General features: G+C 40.9%; 1 protein-coding gene across 17 annotated transcripts in view, besides 3 other annotated features; it reads right to left on the bottom strand.

Moving 5' to 3' along the window:
* The window catches only part of ZNF827 (zinc finger protein 827), a 181,197-nt gene that overhangs the window by 113,996 nt on the left and 42,466 nt on the right, over window positions 1-24,735 (bottom strand). For 13 of the 17 annotated variants that reach the window (XM_017007770.3, NM_001410850.1, NM_001306215.2 and 10 more), the window contains 2 exons: window positions 20,621-20,793; window positions 14,056-14,536 (listed from right to left, as the gene is read on the bottom strand). In XM_017007770.3, the coding sequence (XP_016863259.1) occupies window positions 14,056-14,536; window positions 20,621-20,793 (654 nt within the window). Of the gene's footprint in view, window positions 1-14,055; window positions 14,537-20,620; window positions 20,794-24,735 lie in introns of those variants that run through there. The other 4 variants (XM_047449635.1, XM_017007768.3, XM_047449638.1 and 1 more) reach the window with 2 other exon arrangements.
* Window positions 7,017-7,609: an enhancer, noted in NCBI's record as "H3K27ac hESC enhancer chr4:146799791-146800383 (GRCh37/hg19 assembly coordinates)". NCBI's record gives its function as "activates a minimal SCP1, AML or CMV promoter by ChIP-STARR-seq in primed H9 embryonic stem cells {active_cell/tissue: H9 hESC(primed)}" and the evidence as "EXISTENCE:reporter gene assay evidence [ECO:0000049][PMID:30033119]".
* Window positions 10,207-10,286: an enhancer, noted in NCBI's record as "active region_21970". NCBI's record gives its function as "activates an Ori minimal core promoter by ATAC-STARR-seq in GM12878 lymphoblastoid cells {active_cell/tissue: GM12878}" and the evidence as "EXISTENCE:reporter gene assay evidence [ECO:0000049][PMID:35858748]".
* Window positions 15,382-15,481: a silencer, noted in NCBI's record as "silent region_15734". NCBI's record gives its function as "represses an Ori minimal core promoter by ATAC-STARR-seq in GM12878 lymphoblastoid cells {active_cell/tissue: GM12878}" and the evidence as "EXISTENCE:reporter gene assay evidence [ECO:0000049][PMID:35858748]".

Raw genomic sequence — 24,735 nt, forward strand, 5'->3', positions numbered from 1 at the left:
GAAACACTTATTAGAATGAGCCTTAAGTCCATTCCATCTTAACAGACAAAAAGATAAAAATAAATCCCCGAAGCAAACATCTATCACCCCTTGCCTACCACCTACTCCAAGCCAATACTCAAGCACAAAGTCTGTTTTCCATCTCATACCCCTGTAAGAATATGCATTCTGGAATCACAAGTTCACACAGACCAGCATATTTGGAAACTGAACCCCAGAAGCCCAAAGAACTATCTGGAAGTTTCACTACCAGAAAGATGCAGAGCTGGGACCAGAACCTAAGTCCATGGGCTTCCCCTGCTGTGTCCCTTACCTGCCTCCACCGCACCACCTCCACTTCTGGTCTCTGTATTGTAACAAAACTTGAAAATACTTGACCTTCCAATCGGCTCAAATACTACCTGCTCAGTGAGGTCTACTCTGATCATCCTGTTCAAAACTATAATCACCACCTTCACAGTCCTCCCAACCTCTCTTACCCTGATCTAACTTTCATTTTTCCCTCCAAATACTTATTACCTAATAACCTACTGTTATGGACTCAATTGTGTCCCTTCATATGTCGAAGCCCTAACCTGCCAGTGTGGAATATACCTGGAGGTAGGACCTCGAAGGAGGTAATTAAGGTTAAATGAGGTCATAAGAGTGGAGCCCTAATGCATTGTGACTGGTTCCATTAAAGAACCAGAAGAATAAGAAGAGAGAGAGAGAGAGACACCAGGGATGCACGCACACAGAGGAAAGTCTGCACGAGGACACAGTGAGAAGGCGGCCGTCTGCAAAACAAGGAGAGAGGCCTCAGGAGAAACCAAACCTGCTGACACCTTGATATTAGGCTTCCAGCCTCCAGAAGAGAGAAATAAATCTGTTATTTAAGTCATCCAGTCTGTGGCATTTTGTTACGCGGTATTTAGTTTAACAGACCAATCACATGCTATATGGTTTTTAAAATTTATTATGTTAACAATTTATGGCTGGGTGCGGTGGCTCATGCTTGTAATCCCAGCACTTTGGGAGGCTGAAGCAGGCAGATCACTTGAGGTCAGGAGTTTGAGACCAGCCTGGCCAACATGGTGAAACCCCATCTCTACTAAAAATACAAATAAGCCAGACGTGGTGGCATGCACCTGTAATCCCAGCTACTCGGGAGACTGAGGTAGGAGAATCGCTTGAACCCAGGAGGCAGAGGTTGTGGTGAGCCAAGATCATGCCACTGCACACCAGCCTGGGTGACGGAGCGAGATTCTGTCTCAAAAAAACAAAAACAAAAACAAAAACAAAACAAGGTAGGCTTCATGAAGGCAACAATTTTTTTTTCTTTTCTTTTTTTTTTTTTTTTGAGATGCTTTGTCACCCAGGCTGTAGTGCAGTGGCACAATCTCGGCTCACCACAACCTCTGCCTCCTAGGTTCAAGCAATTCTCCTGCCTCAGCCTCCCAAGTAGCTAGGACTACAGGCGCCCGCCACCATGCCCAGCTAAGTTTTTGTATTTTTAGTAGAGATGGGGTTTCACCATGTTAGCCAGGATGGTCTCGGCTTCCTGACCTCGTGATCCACCCGCTTCGGCCTCCCAAAGTGCTGGGATTATAGGCGTGAGCCGACACGCCTGGCCCAACAATTTTTGTTTTAACACTGATGTGTCTCAAGTACCCTGAATAGTGCCTGGTACATAGTTAGTGATCAATACATATTTGTTGAATGAGTAAAATGTGTTGCTCCAAATTAGTGGCATCCAATGGCGTTCCAATATTATCTGAAGTTAACAAGAACTAAGACCTCCAAAATATCCCACCAAAAGCAATCAGAAGTGCTTTCCCTGGATTTAATAATTAGATGGGAGATAAGATCTTTGAAGTAAAGTTAAAGGCCTTTCTACCTAGACCACAGCATTACTGAAATATCTAATCATCACTTGAACTAGAGCATTACTAAAGGAGGAGTCCAGAAAAATCTCAAGGAAAGTGCTTAAAATCTAGCCCTTTGGGGACAATGCCATATGAATCTGAATCAAAGGGAGCAATAATGGTCTACAGAGCAATCCTCAAATATGTACTTCCAACGTCTACCAGGAAGGTTGCTCCTAAGAGGACTTGGTTTATCTAGCACATTTCTCCCCTTTGCACCTTTCCCCCACTTCTTGGGGGATTTTGCTGGTCACCCTTCTAAAGCTTGCTCTCTCCCAACACCATTCTCCCAGAACCCTTTATAAAGTCTTTTCCAAGGGCACCCTAGTTCATCACGACAGAGTAATTAAATAGGGTGTTTATTAAGTCTGTGTCTTTGATTCTTTGAGGAAGAACAATTTAAAGTGAATGGTTAAGTATTTTTAAAATGCTTCCTTGCTGCATCTTTTATTTAAAAACATTTTAAAATTCTAAGATGAAGCTAAGAAAGAGATGAAAAAAAAAAAACTATTGAGGCCCCAGGAGCAAATCCCAACTTCTAGAGATCATTAAGCAGATGCTTCCTGCACATGTAAGTGGTTTCTAGAAGCATTAGTCAGAGTATATGCTATAAGAGACTTAGGGGGAAAAAAGTAAAGATATTTAGCATTGCTAGCACAACCTGGATTTAATAGAACTTCAAAAAGACACTTTAAAAGGCAATAGGCAAGCTGTATATTGCTGGATTATACATTTGCAAGGCACTACATACCTGGTTTTCATTCTGACAATACAGAGAATAACAGAAAATTGTAATGTGCTGAGGAAATGTAAATATAGCTAATGACATATCAGAAGAGCATATGGAAATCACTCATTTGCCCAAGTTTTAATTTCCCAAACATTTGGGTCTCAATAGAAGACGTAAAAATAGAAATATGAAGGCTAACCTGCTTTTTTCAATGACCAAAAATATTTACATTGAGAACAGTACATAAAGCCTATATTTTAAAATTAATATGACTTAATAATTACTATCTTTTAAATTATCCCACTTTACAAAAAAACCCACATGTGCAGTGAGAGGTGGAATTCAAGATGTTTTCTTTTTCTTTGGGGAAATTGCTAAGAGAAAAGCAACCATTTATGACTCATGACATAGTCTTCACTTTATTCCTACTACTAACACAGAAAGATTTGTGCAGGTGCGGAACTCAACTTGTCAAGGACTTTCACAACACCTGCCTTGACTTCTGTTTATTTATTTGAAAGTTTCTGGATAACTGCACTTTTGATGTGATGAGAAAGCCCTTGGTAATCAAGAGGCCCCCTCTCTCGCTGTTTGTTCCCAGCATCGTAGGACCTGGGCCACGCTGCTGATCAATTACACATACCTCTCAGTTTATGTACTTGATGGAGGTGGACCACCATTTAAAGGAAACAAATCCGCTTTTTTGAGGATTTATGAAGAATTCAAGATAAAGGCAAATGTGGGAAAGGAATGGGAAAGCTGCTGGGATAAGATGATTCCAGTCTTCCAATTCTAGGAAATTACTGTATAACTAGAAAATACTATATATTTTACAATATTTTCTAGTTATATAGTAATTGGGAAAATACTATATAACTTCCCTATTACTAGGGAAAATACTATATAACTTCCTTCTAAAGACCATCATTTGTTTTAACAACGTATACAACTAGCTCTTGAGTAATTACATAGGGATCAAACCTTCCATCAATCACAGGAGACAGATGTTATTACTATCTTCATTTTACAGGTGAGGAAACTAAGGTCCTAAAAAGGTTAAGAAACTGATGCCCCAAATCACAGATCTAATTCACAGAGACACTTGGCTCAGAGTTTCTCACTGGAAATGCATCCAAACCCCTTCCTTTCTCTCCAAGACACCCAGGTACCTTTAAAAGGGACACTATCCTCAGCAGGTGAACAATGGCTTTGGAAAATAAGTGATGTGGGTGAATTAAGCACTGTTCATGAGAAAGGGAAGGGTGGGTTTTGTCTGAAGAAAAGGGACATTTTCTGGTAGGAAGAAATCCTGAGAAGATTTGACTAGGAGGATGAAGGGAAGGAATCAACTGCAAAATAAATACTTCTATTGGTTCCCTCTGGTGAAGGAAAATGACACCTTTTCTTGAGCTTAATAAGACAGAACTCTCCTTCAGTTCAACGTATGGCAATTTTATAAATGCTGAACTGCTCTGTGAAAAAGCAACCCACTGAGAATTTTATTTACGATCTCACCCTAAACCAAGGCCAAAGACTCTTGAGCCTGGAAGGGACTACAGAGCAATGGTTTTCAAACAGTGTTCCAAGGAACCCTAGGATATGCTTCAGGGGTTCCAACAAATGTTTGTTTTGAATTTAAGTTTTTAAAAAATCATTGTAAAATTAATTAATTTAAAATTTAAGTTCAAAGCGTGCATCATCCACTGCATTATATATAAAACATCAACATACTGGAGACCACTAATATGTTGCCAAGTTGATTCAGTTTTGTGTAGTAGCCCTTGTAATGCAGTTTCTCCCCCTCTCATAGGAGAGCTGCAGTTGTAGTAATGTCATCAATAATGAAGTGGCTGCCTTTGCACTGATTTTTCAAAGAATTCAGGCCTATGCATGTGTGTTCATATATAATTATAGTCCTACTAGAGCCTATAAACATACTTTAAATTAGTGTTTCTCAACCTCCACTCCACTGATATTCTGCACTGGATAATCTGCTGGGAGCAGTTGGGGGTGGGGGACTGTCTTGCACATTGTAGGATATTTAACAGCATCCTTGGCATCTCTACGCACTAGTAGCCAGGAGTACTTCCCAGTTGTGAAAAAAACAATTTCTCTAGACATTGCCAGCTATCCCCTGGGCATACCTGCCTTAAATTAAATGCAAGGGTAGATTCAAGTGTATCAAGTGTGCTTGGTGCAGCTTTTGACCATAGCTAATAGACAGACAAATAGACATATGTAGATACATATGGATAGAGCTAGATCTATCATTTATTGAGCACATAACATGAGCTGGGTAACACACCAAGTATTTACCTGTATTAATTTATCTAATTCTCACAGCCACCCTTTGAGGTAGGCACTAGTATTATCCCCATTTTGCAGATGAGAGATCTCAGACCTAGAGAGATTAAATACATTTCCCAAATAACAGTTAACTGAGTAATAACCAAGTAGTTGACACAGAATTACAGATGGCTTTAGGGCATATTGTGAGTTCTGGATACTGCTTATCTTCCATTTATTATAAGGAATGAGGGCAGTTGCCAAATGTTGTCAACTTTGAAGCAAAAGCTTATACTCTTCTTTAATTGAGGAGATCCTGAAATTACAAGACAAGTTGTTAAAAATCTGTTCCCATTTGCCACTATGTGAAACCGTACTTGTATTTTTTCAAACTGAGATCAGCAAAATAAATTTAGAAATATACTAGATGATCACATTGCTACAGACTGTACTCCCTCATAGCACTGGAGTGTCACATTTTGTGCTCACCAAATAGCAACTTTTTTTCCCCCTAATTGCTTGGCTTTTTAAATATGTAAATGTAATAAATGTGAACTTTTGAAACAAAATGAAAGCCATTACTGTTTTCCACTCCCTTACTTTACAATAAGAACACATAGGCTCAGAGGATTATACGATCTTTTGAAAATCACATAGCTCATTAATGATAGAACCAGAATCAGAGCTTAACTCTCCAGATCACAAGCCGGTGCGGTTCTATCCAACCAAGTTCCCTTGTTAGCAGTGTGTATGTATGTATGTATGAACAGGTTGGGGATCTGGGATTTTTCAGCACTATGATGTGCTTTGGGTAAGAAACTGCCTTCTGAAATCGTAAGAAAAGCCAAGATTTAATTAAATAATAATTAATAACAGTTAAATATGACTTTTAAATGTTAAGCGTATTATATTCAAATGGAATGTTTAGAACATTTGCTAAATATTTTAAAATCTTGCTCTTTAATTTCCCTTAAATCATTTTATAATTAGTGTTTAGTGAAATTTTAGCCATCTCATATTTCTCATTAATCCCCACCTGAGCTAATCCTTGGCCACCCTTCAGTGTCTATGTACCCAAAGCAAGACTGTAAAGATTCCTATGATAGCTATGGCCAAAGGGGAAAAACAGCCTCTGCAGAAGGGTCAAAGATAACAAAAAGTGAGCAGTGCCTCAAGAATTTTAAAATATATAAAGTTTTCCTGCAAAAACTAAACTACTAAAACCAACCCACAAAGGGCAAAAGTTGCCATCTGCAGTAACCCACTTAACAGACAGGATATCTCCCTCGTCAAAAGCAGGAAGGACAGGTCCTGGAAAACCAATCAAGCCCTAAGTAAATGTGAAAGAAGGCTGTATTTTAAATTCCCACTATTAACACGGCCAAAGAATGAAATGTATGAGCAGCAATGGAGTGGTTTGCCTGGAGACTAGAAGAAAGAAAACCTGAAGACTGGATAATATATTTCCAACCTTTTTCAGGAAAGTCAGGATCCACTTGCCCCAAATGACATCTCCTCTTGACTGCTATACTTGTCATTTTAAATTAATATGCTGACATTCTTATTTACAGATCAGTTTGTAAATGATTTTTGTCATTGTGGATCACCCAGAGAGTCTGAAGAACTCTGGACTGTGGCAGACCATGAAATGGCTACGATTCCCCCCTCCAAAGGCCCACCTCTTTACAGTGTGACTTTGTAGCTCCTCCCAAGAGGAGGAAAATATACATGCAATTCCATGGTTCCAATTATCAGACCCCAGGAACAACATGAGTAAAGGTAGAAAAATGGAAATGAGAGGGGTATGTTCATGAGCTGGTGAAGACTGTTAACAGTTTTCTTAAGAGAAGTGGAGAGATAGTTACTGAGCAGAAAGGAGCTAGGGCTGAGCATGGTGGCCTGTGCCTGTAAACCCAGCTAATTGGGAGGCTGAGGTGGGAGGATCACCTGAGGTCAGGAGTTCGAGACCAGCCTGGGTGACAGAGTAAGACCTCATCTCGAAAGAAAAAAAAGACAAGACAGGACAGGACAGGACAGGACAGGACAGGACAGGACAGGACAGGAAAGGAAAGGAAAGGAAAGGAAAGGAAAGGAAAGGAAAGGAAAGGAAAGGAAAGGGAGAGAGAGAAAGGAAGGAAGGGAGAGAGAGGAAGGGAGGAAGGGAGAGAGAGGAAGGGAGGAAGGGAGAGAGAGGAAGGGAGGAAGGGCGGAAGGAAGGAAGGAAGGAAAGAAGGAAAGGAGGAAGGAAGGAAAAGAGCTAGCCAGACAGGAGCATGATCTGATGCAAGAGGTACTGGAAGAAAAGTCCATCAGAAATGCTGGGTGGATGGGTGGGGGCAGTGCTGGGGAGGAAAAGGCATCAGGGAGGGAGCTGGAGGGGCAACTTCTAGGCATGAGGAGCAGGCTGCACATGAAGGGATGGAGTGTAGATGAAAATTTCAGTACAATTTTGAAGACACAAAAAATTTAACTAGATTAGTGACTGAAAGTGCATGCATTCAAAATGATGCCATGGTTTGAAGCCAAGGAAAATAAACAGTGAAGCAGACGGAGGTCAAAAGACAGTTTGCTCAACTGAGAAAAAAAAAATAGGTAATAGCTAATTAAGTAGTCAAGAGCCAACCTTCTGTGGTTACCCAGAGCTGAATCCTTGCTCTGTCCTTTGCAGCCGAAACCTTTAAGTCTCGGCCTCCTTATCTATAACATAGGTTTACTATTACAGACCCTATAGGGCTGTGGTGAAGGTTAAATGAGAAATTACATGATGTGGCTGGCACAGTGCCCAGCTCACTGTAAGCACATTTGATTAATTATAGCTCTTAAAATAATAATAGTAGAAGCAACAACAATAATAACAACAGTAGTAAAAAGAACGGACTTCAAGGAGAATGACACTTCCCTTTGTTTTTACAGATACAATAGGCTTTGGTAAAATTTCCCAGGGGTCTATCAAGATAAAAAATCACTCTGATGGCAATTCTGGAACTAGGTACACTCTATCTAGCAGGGTCAGGAAAGAAAGGTCTGGATTCCAGTCATGACTCTTTTATAGTTATTTACCCCAAGTCTTGGTTTTCTCATCTACATGCTTGTTATGAAATGATGTATTTAGAAATACACAGTACGCTGTGAAGCTCTACAGAAATATCAGTTGGCCCTACTCTTACTGCTCTATTTGTACTAAATAATTCCTGAGATGCCTAAAACTATTAACACAAATTCTAAAGCTGTCTGACATAACAACATCCAGAACATGCTGAAATCCTGGCTAATTCCACAACGCACAAGAAGGGCAGAGAACAGAGCCGAGTTCCTGTTTTGCTGCTTCTTTCTGTAATTTGTGGGTAGAGACAGCCTGGGGAAGAGAATCCTGGAACCACACTGCCTGGATTAGAATCCCAGTCTCTCATGCCTGTGATCCCAGTTTCTCACATCTGTAATCCCAGCACTTTGGGAGGCCGAGGCAGCCAGATCACGAGGTCAGGAGTTCAAGACCAGCCTGGCCAATACGGTGAAACCCCATCTCTACCAAAAATATAAAAATTAGCTGGTCATGGTGGCAGGTACCTTTAGTCCCAGCTACTTGGGAGGCTGAGGCAGGAGAATAGCTTGAACCCGGGAGGCGGATGTTTCAGTGAGCCGAGATCGCATCACTGACTTCAGCCTGGGCGACAGAGCCAGACTCCGTCTAAAAAAAAGAATCTCAGTTCTACCACCTATTCATTGTGCTAACCTGGGCAAGACTCCTAACCTCTCCATTTCTCAGTTTCCTCATCTGTAAAATGGGAATACTTATACCACCTACTATGGCGTTGCCACAAGGCTCAAAGGAGTTAGTAAGTATTAAACAAAGTAAAAATAATAAGCAATGAGTAACTAGCGTAAGAACTCTGTCCATGCAAGTTTCAGCAACTGTGTGTGTAAGCAATCCAGGCCCCACTTACGTATAATCCTCCAGGTCCCACTTACTTATAGTCCTACCTGCTCCTTTCTTAACTCAGGTCAGTGCTTGTCTCATGAGTGGCAAGTCACTGAAAAATAAGAAAGAGTCACACTCTTCCTCTCTTATGAATCACCAAGTTCAATAAAGTCGAGAATTTCAAAAGGGCATTCAAGCCGCTTACACATATAAGGCCCCTAAATGCAGCTGCTCACATGAGGAATTTTAGTCACGTGATTAGTGAGTGCCCATCACCAGAAAAGCAAGGCAGGGTTAAAAGGAAGGGCTAAACTAAAAATGCAAAGGGAGGCTGTCGAAAATCACCTGACTGGAGAGGGCATGCCCAGGCGTGGGGAGTGGGAGAGCCCCCTGGCTGTTGGCACTGCCGTCGTAGGGTGTGAATAACACAAGGATGGCATTTACTTGGAAGAAGGCTCATTTGTTGAGATGACTGCCTTTACAGAAAGGCAATCAGAGCCACTGGGCAATGAGGATGACTTAGTTCAATGGGCATCTCCCATCCCTCCTTCTCCAGCAGCACAAACAAAGGTAAAGCAAGATGGGGAGCTGCCATTTATACAAAAACTGTATTGTAAATGCAGAGGCTTAAAAGCAGGTGAAATAGATGGAAGTTGTAGAACAAAGGCCAATGGAAAACTACAGTATATGACACAAACACATTAACCTACACCCTACGTTTATATGTGAACACCTTTGCTGTTTAATGGATGAGCTACTAATAAGTCAGAAACAGTTTAGCTTATATCCATTTGTTCATAAACTGTCTCTGTGAGGCTAAAAGTAAGTTAGTGCTTTAAAGAAGTCCATCTCTCCTAGTTAAAATTATTTTGGTCTCAATTTTACGAAATTAATATGATGTGGGAGACAGCACAACAATTTTTGCTGGCTTCCAAATTAAAAATAGTTGAAATGACATATCTTTTATTTTGGAAAACCAGGGACAAAAAGATATTCCCAGCCAACAAGTGAAGTGCCAAGTTTCTGTCAACTGCTTGGTTATAATTTGGAGAGTTAGAATTAAATTTTATATCTTGAAAAGGGTAGTTTTCGGAAAAAGAAATGATGTAAGGCCGTTGCTGCAGGCAACTTTTAATCAGGCTTCTAATAATGACGACCCTCCCAGTTCCTTTATGCTCTGCACTGAATCTTGAGACTTTTTAACTGGAGAAACTCCCCTGTCAGGAGGCCCCACAAGGAAACACCTGGGGCTCCATGAACACAACTCACCCAGGCCTCTCCTTCATGTCAACCTTGACCTATGGTGAAAGCCACAGGCCTATCTCATACCACCATGCCCCGTTTCATGGTCTCGGCTGGAGACCACAGGAACAAAACTGCACTGATGAAAACCGTAGCTGTACCAAAAAATACTGTACCATGTAACAAGTTTATATTCCACATCAGTGGTCCTCAGCCCTGGCTGCACACTAAAATCATTCTGCACATTAAAATCATTTGAGGATATTAAAGAAAATACCAATGTCCAGGGCCTATCCCAGTGAATCATAATTTCTGGGCCCTGGCATTTTGTGAAAAACTCCCCAGGCAAGGCTAATGTGCAGCCGAGGTTAAGAACTGCTGCTGGCTATGGGTGACAAGGCACAGAATCAGCAGGAACTTAGCTCTCCGCAGTCGGGTGAACACCTTTTCCCTGAACACCCTAGCCACGTGACCACTGGCTCACCTGCCCTGACATGCAATGATTTGCATATGCTTTCTGGCTTCCAGGAAAGAGCTGCTGGAACATACAGGCCTGGAGTCCTCTCAGGTCTGCCTCAGTCTAAACCGTGGGTGAAATCTACAAAATTCATTTTTCTGTCAGCCCTGAAAGCTGCCCATACTATTCCCTGAATCAACTGCGATGCCGGGCCTGGAAGCCTCCGTTTTGCAAGCAGCATTATTTTTGAAGGACCAAGCAGTGTTAAGTGTGGGCTCAGTCAGAAGAATAGCTGATAGTTTGGAGAAGGGATTTTATTTCACAATCATGCACGTTAAGAAACCTCTAACAGGAATGGGGGTGGGGGGTATTGAGAGTCCATTTAAAACAGTATTCTATCCACTGACTTTTAATCCCACTCGGTTCCATTCAATCATCTTTATGCTTAGTTTTAGTTGAAGGAGCAAGAAAGACTCCCCTTAATAACCAGGCAAGAAAGCATCAAGTGTTTTCTCTCTTTTGGAAACAAGTAGGTGTCTGCACGCTTGAATTTGTCACTGTGCTCCAGTTTTGCAGACAGTGATCTGGCTGGCACAAAGATTCACAGACTCAGTGCCCACAAACAGCTGCACCCTACAGTACCAGCAGGTGCACGGACAGAGCCCAGGGAAAAAATTCAGTGCAAGAACAATGGCGCCGTTATAACGCCAAGGGACAAGGCCCGAGACTAGCCACTACTTCACTACATTTGATGATGGGAAGAGCTAGAAACTCAGCCGCAGCTCCCTGGGATTTGGCCTTTTTGTCCCTAAATCATATCCACAGACACAGCCAGGTAGGGCATCACAGTGAGAGCAGCTATCAAACGTATGGCCAGACCAACCAGAGGGTAAGTAAAATTAAAAAAAAAAAAAAAATCGCTCTAGAAAATGTATTCCTTTCCTTTTAACTTATCTTCTCCTCTCCTGAGCTGCATTGCCACAGTCACCAAGTTTACATTTACATCCAAATATGCACACACAAAAAAATTAAGGATGCATCTCACTCCCCAGTGACTTTATAACAGGTTGCTAGGTAACAGTGCATACAAGTCAGGTTTCAGGACCTCCAGTAAGCCACCATAAAATAGCCACATGGGCCTTTTGCATAAATAGTGTGTGCATTTGTTATCTGTTTTCTTATGCCAATTATCAGTCAGTAAATATTCTGACTACCAAACCATAAACAACTCCCCATCAATAGCTAACTGAAAACACAGATCACAATATAAGGCTTTGATGCGCAATTCTTCCCCCCAACCTATCAACTGGCTTCTCCCCTCGTGTCTGCTGCTTGCAGTGCTGGCTCTAAGCAGCCTTATCTTATGCTCCCTGAGATTGGGTCTAGAGCTAATTACAGCGTAATGTGAGCACTCAGAGCTGAGCCCAGCAGAAGCCATGCATCATACACAAGTGTTTTATCCAAAGACCAAACCTTCCCTGTTCTCGCTCAACTTCCTCTAGATTTTAAAACATCCCTGGAGTCATGGAGTAAAGGGAGTAACACCTTATTCAGAGTCATTCACCCCCACTCGGATTGCCCCTGTCTGTTAGGTAAGGAAATGTCCCCCTTTCTAAGCTATGTGATGTGAATATGTCATTTGCATTCCTTCCCTGGGGATTGCACTATAAGGGCCCATAAAAGGAGCCCCCTTTGCTATCACGGTGGCAGGGAAGACAATCAAGGAAAAACTAGAGTTCCCCTGGAGGTGAAATCCTAAAGGATCAGAACAGCAAACATGGAATACATGAAAACATGTATTTTCCCCACATGTTCAAAAATTTTTAAATATAAAACTCAAAGTCTCTAAAAATCACATTTTCCCCTAGATTGGAATAGAGGAGGGAGAAGTCGGGGGAGAGAGGTGATGAGGAGCAGAGAAGCCAGTGTTCTTTAGAGCCAGAGTCAGAAACTTGGCCAATTCCAGCATAGGGCCCCCTCACTCTCATTGCCAGTTGGTGTGCTTCACTGTTACATTCCCCGCTCTTTGCCTACTTGGTTCATTTCTGGGACATCTCATTTTCCATCCCCTACCTTTCCTCATTTCTTCCAACTAGTGTCTCCCACTCCTGAGGAGCAAAGATCTGTGGTAAGGGGGACATTCCAAAAGACCCGACTGAAGTGTCCCTGAGCAAAGGGACTTCAGAGTGGAGCTGAACCTCTAATTCACCTGGCAATGACATTTAGTGAAATGCGACTCACATTCCATTTAAAGGAAGGTGGTGACCAATTATTCTCCATTTAAAAGGGTATTGTCAATCTCCAAAGAGCTGACATGGCATTTGGAAATCATCGTGGGGACTTCCATCTTCACTGAAATACAGAACCAATTCTCCACCGACCTTTCCCCACCCCCTACATCTCCTTTAAAATTTAAAATCATACTCTTAAAAGCGTAATGAGTAGCTGCACAATCCTGCAACACACCTTATCATTCCAAAAGAGAATGACAGGAAAAACAAAGTGCCCTAAGACCTTGATGCCCCTTTTCAACACCACGACTTAAATCAAATATGTTGGGAAAAAATGATAAAAAAAGAAACATCATGTACAATTTGATGGTGATAGAAAGAATGTCAACTAATAAGAATACATCTTTATAATTTATACTCCATCTTTTTTTCCCAAATGGATCAGGGCAGTTTTTTTAAAAAAAGAATTTTTTTTAAAAATGTGTTTTTAAATTCCACTTTATATGAGGTCCCTATAGTCAGATTCAAAGACATAAAGTAGTGGCCTCCAGGGCCTGTGGGGGAAGAGGTGAACCGAGAGTTGTTTAATGAGTTTCAGTTTGAGAGAATGAAAAAGTTCTGGAGATGGATGGGGGTCAATGGTTTGCACAACAATGTGAACATACTTAATGTCATTGAACTGTGCACCTAAAATGGTTAAAATGGTAAATTTTATGTTAAATACAGTTTGCCATAATAAAAAAATTTCCCATTAAAAAAACCTGAAAAACTTCTTAAAGATAGTTATCATTTGCTCAAATTTTAGAAGTCTATAATTCCTAATAGTAGTCTTTGTATATATGTCCTTTAAAAATCTTATAAATTAAGACAGTAAAGAACTTGAATAATGCCAAAATGAGGTATTTCATACAAGTCCAGTGCAGAAGAGACATGTTAAACAGGGCCCAATGTCACACAAGCAACTGACACAAGCCTGGCTTACCATGTGACCATTCCCCCCTACAGTAAGAACTCACCAAAGGGAAAAAAGCAGAAGGAAATCAACAATCCCTACTGTTTTGAGACCCAAGCCAAAGCAATACTACTTCCAAAGGATTACACACACACAAAGTCAAGGAGAAAATGTATGGAAGTGCAGACTATCCAAATTTAAAGGGACCTTGAAATCATCTAGTTCTACCAGCTTATTTTACAAATAAGAATACTGGTAGACAGAGACAGAGAGAGAGAGAGAGAGAGAGAGAGAGAGAGAGAGAGAGAGAGAGAATACAACCCTATTCAAGTACCTGACAGCTTCATGAGAAAATCAGACGCCATCTTAACAGAGATGTCCTGGCTGAACAATGCTGACGCACTGTTGGCCACATACTCGGAGGGGTCTTTCAGCTTTGTGTGGTTGGCGGGCCTGTCGGCAGCATTCAAAGTAAAGGAGGTGGGCAGGCCGTTATCTTCCTTGGGTTCCTCCTTCACCAGCAAAGGCGAGACGCCAGCCCCTCCCTGGCTAGTCCTCTCTGGAGTGTTAGACGTCATCATGGTCCCCACTAGCTCTGTCCCTCCTCCTTCCCTTTGCTGCCCCAGGCAGGCACTGTCACTGAGGTGGGGAGATCCCTTGACATCTGGGTCTGGGATCTCCTCCTTCACCTTGGCTTCTGTCCTCAGGAAGTGCTGATGGCAACGCATGTGGAGTTTCAGGCTGAAGTGGCGTGAGGAAGTAAAAGGGCACAGCTGGCACTGAAAGGTCTCTCCCCGATCCTGGTGCTGATGAACCTGACGGAGAAGCAAGAAGAATGAGCTAGCCACCGTGCATTTATGGAAAATGCCTTGCTGTAGATCCAGACTATTCATCAATCATTTCCTCACCGTGCAAAGGGCTGGCCTTTGTACTGCAGAGCATTTCACTATGGGGCTCCAGGTAATGAGGCCAATCCCTAAACATAAAGTGGGTCCACATAGGTTAAGAGTCCATTATTAGGGCCATGCTCACAACTGAGGATGCAGCCGGCCAACGGATGCTATTTTGGGTAGCATCCCACTATTCTAGTCATCTGATCTCAGTTGATGTCTTCAGAGAAAATATTATAAACCCAGCACAATCCAAACTTACAAAATTACTAGTTGGGGATCAAAAGAGGTAACCTGTCAAGTAATTCCTCTCACAATAATGATACTTTGCATTCATCCAATTTTTTGTTAGTTATGTTCTGCAAACATAATTTCAGTTTTCAAAATGCTGCTCTTAGGTAATTAAGAATGTAGAAAATAATGTCTCCAGGGTATTCCCGTTTCAAAGACAGAGAAATTGAGGCCCCAGAATAAATGGATTGAGCGAAATTACATACAAAAAAAAAAAACAAAGTAGGAGAAAAACCAAGGTCTGACCCTCACCAAGTATTCTGAGCAAGAGGAAACCAATTTTTCCAAACGTGGCTATAATATCATGCTCCAGATTCTGACGTCTGCAATGAAAGAATGCAGACTTTTAAATCCAGTTCCAGTCTTGCATGCACATGATACCTGTAAAAATTGGGAGAAACTTTTTCTTCCTGTCACTACCAAATTTAGTGCTTAAAAAAGTGAGGAAATCATTGCATTGGCCTGAGCCAGGCTTTGAGCTGGCAGGTGCTCATAAGCTTGTAACTTCCCCATTTATCTCTGCCAATGCACTTTAGTGCTGACCTGCTACACTCTGCTATTTCAGGACTGGTCCTCCCTTAAGTAGAACTGCCAATTGTGTAGATGTGGGCCAAATGATTTGGGGAGCTGTGTGATCTGAACAAACAAGTGAGTGATTGGAACCCAAAAGCAAAACAAAACTGACACCTCCTCTTTTAGGGGTGACCTAAGCAGGACTCGAACCCAGGTCTCACCAAGGTTAAAGGCTCATGCGTTAATCCGCTGCACCACCTGGCCCCTCTCGGTAGGTTTCCTTTCCAAGAGAGCAAGTTTTACAACAGCTGTTTATGCATTCTGAATGCAATCCAAAAGCATTATTCACCAGCCAAAACATACTTTTAAATAATGTTAAGTGACCAACAAAAGCAAAGAAATTAAAAGTTAATGGTGAGATCCTGTCGCTACAGCACCCCACTGTGGCTTTTTGAAAAAAACAACAGAAGAGATTCTGGGTCCCCCAAAGCACGAGTTTCTTAACAGAAATAGCCATATACACTTAAACTCAGTTAGGCAAAGTCCTGATCATGGAAAGGCTTTCCCTCTGCTGGGGTGGAGTGCTGGGGGTGGGGAAACACACTGATTGTCACCAGCTGTTAACATCACCCCTTTCTGTTCTTTCACAACAAAAGGATTTCACTAGGAGCTGACCATTTCATTGCTTTCTCACAGAATCCCCACCATCTCCTCCGACCAATTCACGCAGAAGCAGGCACCTTGGGGACCTCAGGTCACAGTCCCATGGGACCCTGACCGGTGCTGCCAAAAGCATGCCCTGGAACCAGGTGATAAAGGTCACGAGTTAGAGAGCTTCCATTGTCCCTGAGAGCAGTGCAGTGGGGCAGATCCATTTCAGAAGTGTCCTTACATCTACTGACCCAGGAGAGGAGGGGAGCTAATCCAAGAACAGAAGCTCCGGAAGCAGCTTCTGGAAGAAGGAAAAGGACAGAGCACAAGCCCAAGTTCTAAAATCAAAAGGGAGTCCTGGATTAAAAACCGTCTATGTGCATGTATTTTATGTGACTTCTTTTTCACCAGATCCTGGCCTTGTTATATTTAGTTATGGACAAATTAGTGAAGCTTTAAAGGAAAAACAGTGGGTATTTTGTTGACTTTTGCACTTAACAATTTTTTTTGAGCTACAACTTCCCAAAAGGACTATATATCACATTTGGCCTTTGAGAGAAGTATTAGCTCTATCCTCTGACTGCAGTTTTTCCCCCTTCTCTCCTGACATTCGAGCACTTTTCTGTCATAATTTTTATTCTCTTTAGCTTGACATTTGCTTTAAAGATCTTCTTAGTCTACTAAAATGAAGACATGCTTCTCTAAAGCACGTCATTCTCTCCAGGCCATGTTTAGGGGCTCACCTATCCTCTGGTCATTTCACACAAACAACCCATATCAGGTGCTGTTACATCATTAGGGCCATCTCTTCACCATTGGGGCCATTTCTTGGTAGCAGTTGGATGCTTGGGTTGTGGTATTTCAGAGCTTGGGGAAATTTTGGGAAACCTCTACTCCATCCCCCACTAGGGGGACAGGTGAGGGCCTTCATGAGAAGTTAGAGCTCCTTAAATGGCAGACCTGAGGCTACTAGAACTCAGTACCCTGACTCTCGGTCAGTTTCCTGCTAATACTTCACCAGTGTTCTTTATCTTAGCAGTCTTCCTCACCTTTTCTGTTCAATTTTAGCTTATGAATTCATGTTGAATTCCTGTATGTTCACTTATCCAGGAAAATTTTAAAGGACTTAATGGAAATCTGAGATAACCCCAAGGAAATCTGGAGGCCTTTATAAGCTCCTTCCACAGCGGGTGATAAAAACATTTGCACGATATATTATGAAGGAAAGGTGGGCTAAAAGAATGTACAGTGCCTAGGACATAATAGGATAGAGTAAGTACTATAATACAAATGCAGTAAGTACTATATTTGTTGAACAAAGAAAGTAGAATCCCATTTTTCTTTAAAACATCGATATACCAATATAGAAGAATATACATCAAAGTGATAATGGTTATTTATCATTCTTGGTGATGGGATTAAGGATCAACTTTATATTCCTTTGTTTATCAGTTTTTCTAAGTTCTCAGCACTAAAGACAGATCACAAAAAGGGAAAAGGAATAAAATTTATTTTAGAGTAATTTTTTATACCATTTCATTGATTATTTCTAAATGTAAATAAACATTAATGTATATTGAGATGGCTTTCCGATAATGATCACTGTATTAGCTACATTTACTGAATGTTGTTTCTCCAGGCTGGGCACTGTATTAAGTGCTTTATGTGCATTATCTCATTTAACTCTCATAACAACCCCATGAGACAGACTGTATGATTATTATCTCCATTAGTGGAAACAGAGGTTTGGAGAGGTTAAATGATTCTTTCAAAGTCTCACAGTTCCTAAGGTGGAACTGAGATTCTAACTAAGGTTTTTCTGACCATACAGTTTGAGATCTTAATCTCTGGCTATACTGACCCCACTTTTTTTTTTTTTTTTTGAGACGGAGTCTAGCTCTGTCGCCCAGGCTGGAGTGCAGTGGTGCGATCTCGGCTCACTGCAAGCTCCGCCTCCCGTACTGACCCCACTTCTTAGGCAGAATTCATTAAGAAAATCTGTCCACGGCCGGGTGCAGTGGCTCACGCCCATAATCCCAGTACTCTGGGAGACCGAGGCAAGTGAACTGCCTGAGGTCAAGAGTTCAAGACCAGCGTGGCTAACATGGTGAAACCTCGTCTCTACTAAAAATACAAAAATTAGCCAGGCGTGGTGGCGGACGCCTGTAGTCCCAGCTACTCGGGAGACTGAAGCAGGAGAATCGCTTAGAGCCCGGAGGCGGAGGCTGCAGTGAGCCAAGATGGCGCCACTGCACTCCAGCCTGGGTAAGAGAGCTAGACTCCGTCTCAAAAATTAAAAAAAAAAAAAAAAATCTGTCCGTCCATATTTGTAGTCTCTGGTGGATGTAGCAGAGGATATCTACCCATAAGACTACAACCATTATATTTCCAGGTAGACTAGATTTGCAAAATGTAGCAAAATTAAAGTATTTTAACCAAATAAAATCATGAATGCTTTGATTAAAAAAAGAACAGCCAATAAGTGAGGTGGAAAGCAGGGACAAGAAAGAATATACCGTTTGATAAAATTAAACTTGCATGAGCTCTTCTCACACTTCCCGTATCAAAAGCTCAAGTCATAGCTCAACAGGTTAGGACACCATGAGTTTGAATAAAGTAGTAATTTCACACAACTGCTTTATCGTACTGGTTATTGATTTGTTCTGAAAGCATTCTAAGACCCCACGACCCACAAAGCCCTTGCAGCTCTCATCTGTGACACTGCCATGGCCGGCCGTCTGTGTCATCAAGGCACCCAACTCATCTCCCTGTAGTTTCAGGGTCAGTAGTTCCTGCTATTGAAAACCCTGCTTTTTTTCCATGGGTTTATAAATAGGTTGTTTTAAGTGACCCTGAGCTGAAACCAAGCTTACAAGGTGTCAGGCTAGATGCAAGTTTTCTGCTCGCTGAAGCTTTAAATTTGCCAGACCTGATTTCTAAACACAGCTTAGGAAATAGTAACTAAAACAAATTTTCATTTTAAAGGCATTTCTTTTGAAGTCTCATCCTGCTAACGAAATTCAACTTTGCAGGTTTAAAATACAAGTTTTTACTCTGGGAAGACGTGACAGAGGATGAGGAGGGTTAAAGTAAAAACTAAGTCGGCTGAGTAAAATTCAGCCAACCAGAACTCCTGGTTAAATGGATTCTGAAGATGAAGGGCATGCTACTCCCAGGAGACAAAGGCAAATGATAGAAAACAAATTACATCATGGATTTAAATTTTCTTAATCTTCCAAGCTATTTCCTAAAGTCAGTAGAGGTTCTATCTGGTCACACTTTTTTAGAGCTACAATTCTGAAGAGTGATTACTGATCTATTTAAAAGGATTAGACTGCAAGATTTCCAAATAAGCAAATACCTTAATTATGTCCATACATTATACTTCTTATGGTAGGAAAGTAAACACTTTATAAATAATGTCAACAGCCAAATCATATCGAAAATATCAGTGAAGATATGATTGCTATTAAGATGCTCAATGATAGTTATTAGAATTAAATAACTTCCATTGAAAATTCCTGTGTCAGATATTTGGTTAATATTCTCTCCTTAAATACTAATGACAACTCTTCCAGACAAACATTATGATTCCCATTTAACAGATGAGAAAATTCAGAGTCTAAAGGTTAACTTGCTCAAGGCCACTTAGCTAGTAAGTTGCATAATAAGATTTCAATTCAGGTCTATCAAATTCAAAAGCCCATGCTCTTTTGATCCCATGAGTTTCCTCCTGGATTTTGAGACAAAACCCTTTGCATTAACGGAGTCAGCTAAAAAGATTTCCATCTAACTAAGTTTTCCCCCATCTCATATAAGAGGGACTCATGGATTCCAGTCAATTTTTCTGTACATGTTTAGTGTAGGTTTGAGCTCCCCAGTTGTTTTTAATAGGACATTGAAAATTATGTCCTTGGATGTTTGGTAAATGTAATCCTGGGAATTATGATAGCTCAAACAATGACAGCCTCAATGAGGACTACAGTCTTGTTAGAAAGGGCCCCCAAGCCTCCCACAGGGCTAAATAAAGTTAAAGGCCCGGTGCCTTCACTGTCTTCATGCCTCCTACACGGTGTCTCTGTGTGTTCCTCTTAGTTTGCAAGCTGGAGGGTAAGGCAGTAACAGCCAAGGGCAGTCTCTCCAGGAAGGGGAGCAGGTTCAACAGCCCTCTCTTTGGTGCTCAGTCCAGCAGCTCTTCCTGAACTTGGCTTTCCCTGCTTCTTGCTATTCCCCAGCCCTGCCTCTGAGTGCCCCAAGAAATGCGTCAGCACACAGGCCAGGCAGGCTGTTGCTCCCCTATAGGAGAGGACCGCCCTCCAGTAAATACATTATTTGGATATCGAAGGTTCTCTCTCTCTGCCTTTAAGTTCTTGGCTGCAAAGTGGACATTAACACCTTTCTGTTGAATTCTACCTTGCTACGTGGAGTACTGTCATCCGCATGTTTCATCAGTGAGGCGCCCTCCCTCGGCCAAGAAGCCTCCTGCACCAGACCATGTACAGAAGCCCTGGCTGTGCCTGCCTCTCCAGGAGGTGCAGTCGGTAGGTGGCTTACCTTCATGTGGGATTTGAGATTGTCCTTGCGAGCACACCGGAATGGACAGAGCGGACACTGATGACTTTTTAAACCTGTGTGAATCACCATGTGCCGCTTCCAGTAACTCTTCCTTTTAATAACCAAACCACATATTGGACACTGGAAAGGCTTTCCACTTTCCTCTTCTGAGGCTTGGAAGAAGGAGAAAGAAAGGACCATTAAGGAAAACAAAAAGGTACACTGCATCTGGCATTAATTCACATACACTGCCATATAAAAAGCACTAAAAATGATTTGGGTTTTTTTCTTGACAATTCCGAGATTTTATCCATAAGAAAGTTTTAGTACTGCTTTTCTTCAGGTAGAAACCCATATTCACCTAGTTACTTCCATCTGGGCTCCATTTTCCAAAATCTGATCATCCTGCCTTGTGAAAGTCTGACTTCCAAAGGCCATCCAACACTAAGGAAGACATCGGCAAAGGGGCTTCGCCCAGCCTGTCCTAACTCAGGGCCCAAGGGCACCATGCACAGTCAGAGAAGTCTGAATGCAGGGGCTTTGTTTCCTGAAGGAAACTGTCAGACTCAAGTCCATGTCTGAATTCCTGAACTTTGAAAACAGTGAGAAATAAAAACAAATCACATGGGACAGAGAATAATGCACTGCTCCACACTGAAAACCAAACAGCTAGCATAAACCTCACTCTCTGAACTCCAATGGAGACAAATTTTCGGATCCCTACTGCTGACTTGTTTAGTTGTGGCTTGAGCAGATGCTGCTGCCAATTTAGCCATCAGGGGGTCTTAAGGTCAGGGTTTTTGACCCTTTTATTTCTGTCCCTTTGGTAGCCACTAACAATATGTGCTGCCTTCCTCTGCACGGTGACTGGGCCTCATTGCCCACTTTGGGAAGAGCTGCAATGAGGCCACCACAAATGCTCCAATCTTTCAAGAAATTAAACAAACCAACTACCTCCTCCAAATAAAGCTAAGGTCGCTCTCAAAGTGAAGGGTCTCTGTTGTGACACTATTGCTAAACTTTTGGTCTACCAATTTATATTGCTCAGTGCCACACTAGCCTCTGCAATTTAGGGATACAGGGAATAAAAAGAAGCAGAATCAAGAACTTAGACATTTCTTTCTTAATCATAAGGAATCAGAAATATTTCAAAACCGGTTAAATGACTTAGCATATGTGCCCACAATAAAATATAAAAAGCACTTTTAAAAATGAGCTAGATCTACAGACGATGATATAAAAACATGTCCAAGATATTAGCATTGGTGGATAAAGCAAGATACAAAACCATATATCCAGGGTAATTCTATTTTTGTTTTCTAAAAAAGTGGAAATCAGTCACAGCTAAAACCATTAGGTGAAATATTAGCAGGGAACTTTATAAAGGATGGATCAGTTGACAACACCTAAAACCACTAATTAATCTTAACATTACTAAAAATGGGGCAGATACCATGTGCCTTCTGATATGTCATCTGTGAAATGTCCTTATAAAAAATTAAACAATCCTCTATATAACTAACCCTTTATTGGAAATACAATTGATTTTTTAAAAAAGTGTTAAACACACCAACGGGATGAAATCAGCCAAATCTATAATGTGTGAATTCCTCAAGACAAACGACCCAGTTTCTTCAACATGTAAGTGGCATTTTTAAAAGAGAAGGGGTTATGGAAAAATAAAGACTTAAGAGATATATACAAAAAAAAAAAGCAAGGTGTGAAGCTTATTTGGATTCTGTTTAAATAAAACCATTGTAAAAGGACATTTCTCAGATAATTGAGGAAATACTGATTATAGCTTGGATGTTCCAAAATATCACTTAGCAATTGTTTCTGTTAGATGTGACAGTGGAATTGTGGTTATTTTTTTAAGTCCTTATCTGGTGAAGATATATACATGGAAGTATTTACAAACAAGCGGATATGATGTCTGGGATTTGCTTTAAAATACTTGAGAAAAAATAAAGGGAGGGAGTGGGAAGAATGGCATGAATAAATGGAACAAACAAAAAATGGTATCTTTTTATTTGCATATGAAAACTTCCTGGAAGCATACCCAGGAAACCACTAAGCAGTTACCACTGAAGGATTGTGGATTAAAAGGAAGGAATCAGGAGGGAAACTTGTGTTTTCATTTCATATCCTTCTGTACTATTTGAATTTTTTAATGTACACATTACTCTTTTAATTTTAAAAGAAAATATTCCCAAGAGTATACTTTAAAATAATCTCATCATGTATTTACTGGGTCAACTGAGTCTCTACATACAAAGGAGCACTTCAACTGGATGGAACCAGAGGGTTCTGGAATAAAGTTAGAGCATTCCAAAAATGCAGTTTTACTAATACAGGTCTATTGGTTAGCTCAACCATGCAACTTGAAAAAGAATCAAGTCTGGAAATTCCACTTGTGATGTGTTCCACCACATGTATTTCCTTTTTTAATTGGGGGAGTAACAGGAAATGAGGGTTTCCTTTTACTCTAGGAAAAGCACACCTTGTAGACACATATAAACAAGCATTTTTATTAACCCCCTGTAGCTTTTCTGCTGTCTCTTTTTGTGAATTGCCTCTGCCGATCTGGAGTCCTATCTGTAATTATGTCTCTTGTCTTCTATCCTTCCTTGTCATTTCCTCCACCCTGATATTTTGATCATGAAGACTACAAGATGAACAACAGACTGGAGAGAAAGGACTGAATCAGGCCTCTAGGTGAAATTATTGTCATACACTACAGGGAAATAATCATAACAATGTCTGTTTGGGGTTGTAAGAACATCAAAATAATAGGAAAGAGATAAACAAACAGGCTGTCATTGATCCCCATCTTCAAGAAGTATGTCCCACTATCAAATTCCTAAACTACCTAATTTTACAGAACTGTCTGGAAGAGGAGAGAAAAACTGAGATGTTTTCCACTGACCTGAGATTTCATGGCACACCATAGGAAGGCAATAAAAGGGCATTAGCTAAAAAAATGAACACTGCCGTCTTCCCCTCGCATCTTGCCTTGCCTAATGTGACCAATGCGTTTCCTATTCTTTCTGAGACCCCTCAGTCTTCACCCTAATCAACAATTCTTTATTTCAAATGTTTTACAGAGTACATTACATTTAACCCTGCATATTATTATTTCATATAAATCCATTTAGCTATGCTTCCTTAGTTTTAATTAGTACCAAAATACACAAGTTGGGTACAAATTAGGGTGCACTTGGACTGACTAGGAAAAAAATTAGAACACACAATGAAGAGAAACTAACTGCAAGAAATGTGGTCAAATAGCTACACTACTGTAACTTTTGAAATTTTTAACTGATCACAGCAGGAAAGGAAGATGACAGAAACCAAATGATAAAAGTAACCGAAGTACCATGACTGATTTTCACCTTTGGCCAGTCATCTCACCGATAACATCTACATTTTTATTTATTCAAGAAAGAAATTTCATATTTTAGAGACGTTCTCCATGTGTTTATGATGTTGTTAACTACTTTAAAGAAGGGAGGAAGTAAGGTTGTATTCTATTTCGTATGCCAAACTATTTTCAGGAAACTGACAGCTGTAAATTTCACTCAAAGTTAGAACCTAAGGAAAGAGGACCACTTCCTCAGAATGAACCATACACTCTTGAGGCAATAGGATTGAAATGTTCATAATTTTACCTAGTTTACAACTGCCTAATAAATAACTTTTCCCAAGTATATCACTAGCTAGTTATTATCACTGCAAACACAACTAAATTCCATCAAATGCTAAGAAAACAAGTGGGATGAACAGCTGCTAATTTGCTCCTCTGGAGAAAACATATTCTCTTCATAGGCAATAATATTATTGGAATAAACGAAATAATGAATGTGCATAAGACACCTGTCACATAGTAAATAGAAGCTACCTGTAGTAGCCGTTGTTGTAGTAAGAGTAGTGACAATAAACAAACTCTAAACATGCCCTGCAAAGCTGAAAACTCACCATCAGAGCAGATGTAAATCTAAACAACTAACATCACATAATAAATACACGGTTCAGAGCTTGGCCCAACGTTGTAGTTTGTCACTGGAGCCAATATGAAACAAATAAGCAGAAGTCCATAGTGTGGCTCAGGTAGGATC

Source organism: Homo sapiens, chromosome 4, assembly GCF_000001405.40.
Source record: "Homo sapiens chromosome 4, GRCh38.p14 Primary Assembly".
Classification (NCBI taxonomy): Eukaryota; Metazoa; Chordata; class Mammalia; order Primates; family Hominidae; genus Homo; species Homo sapiens.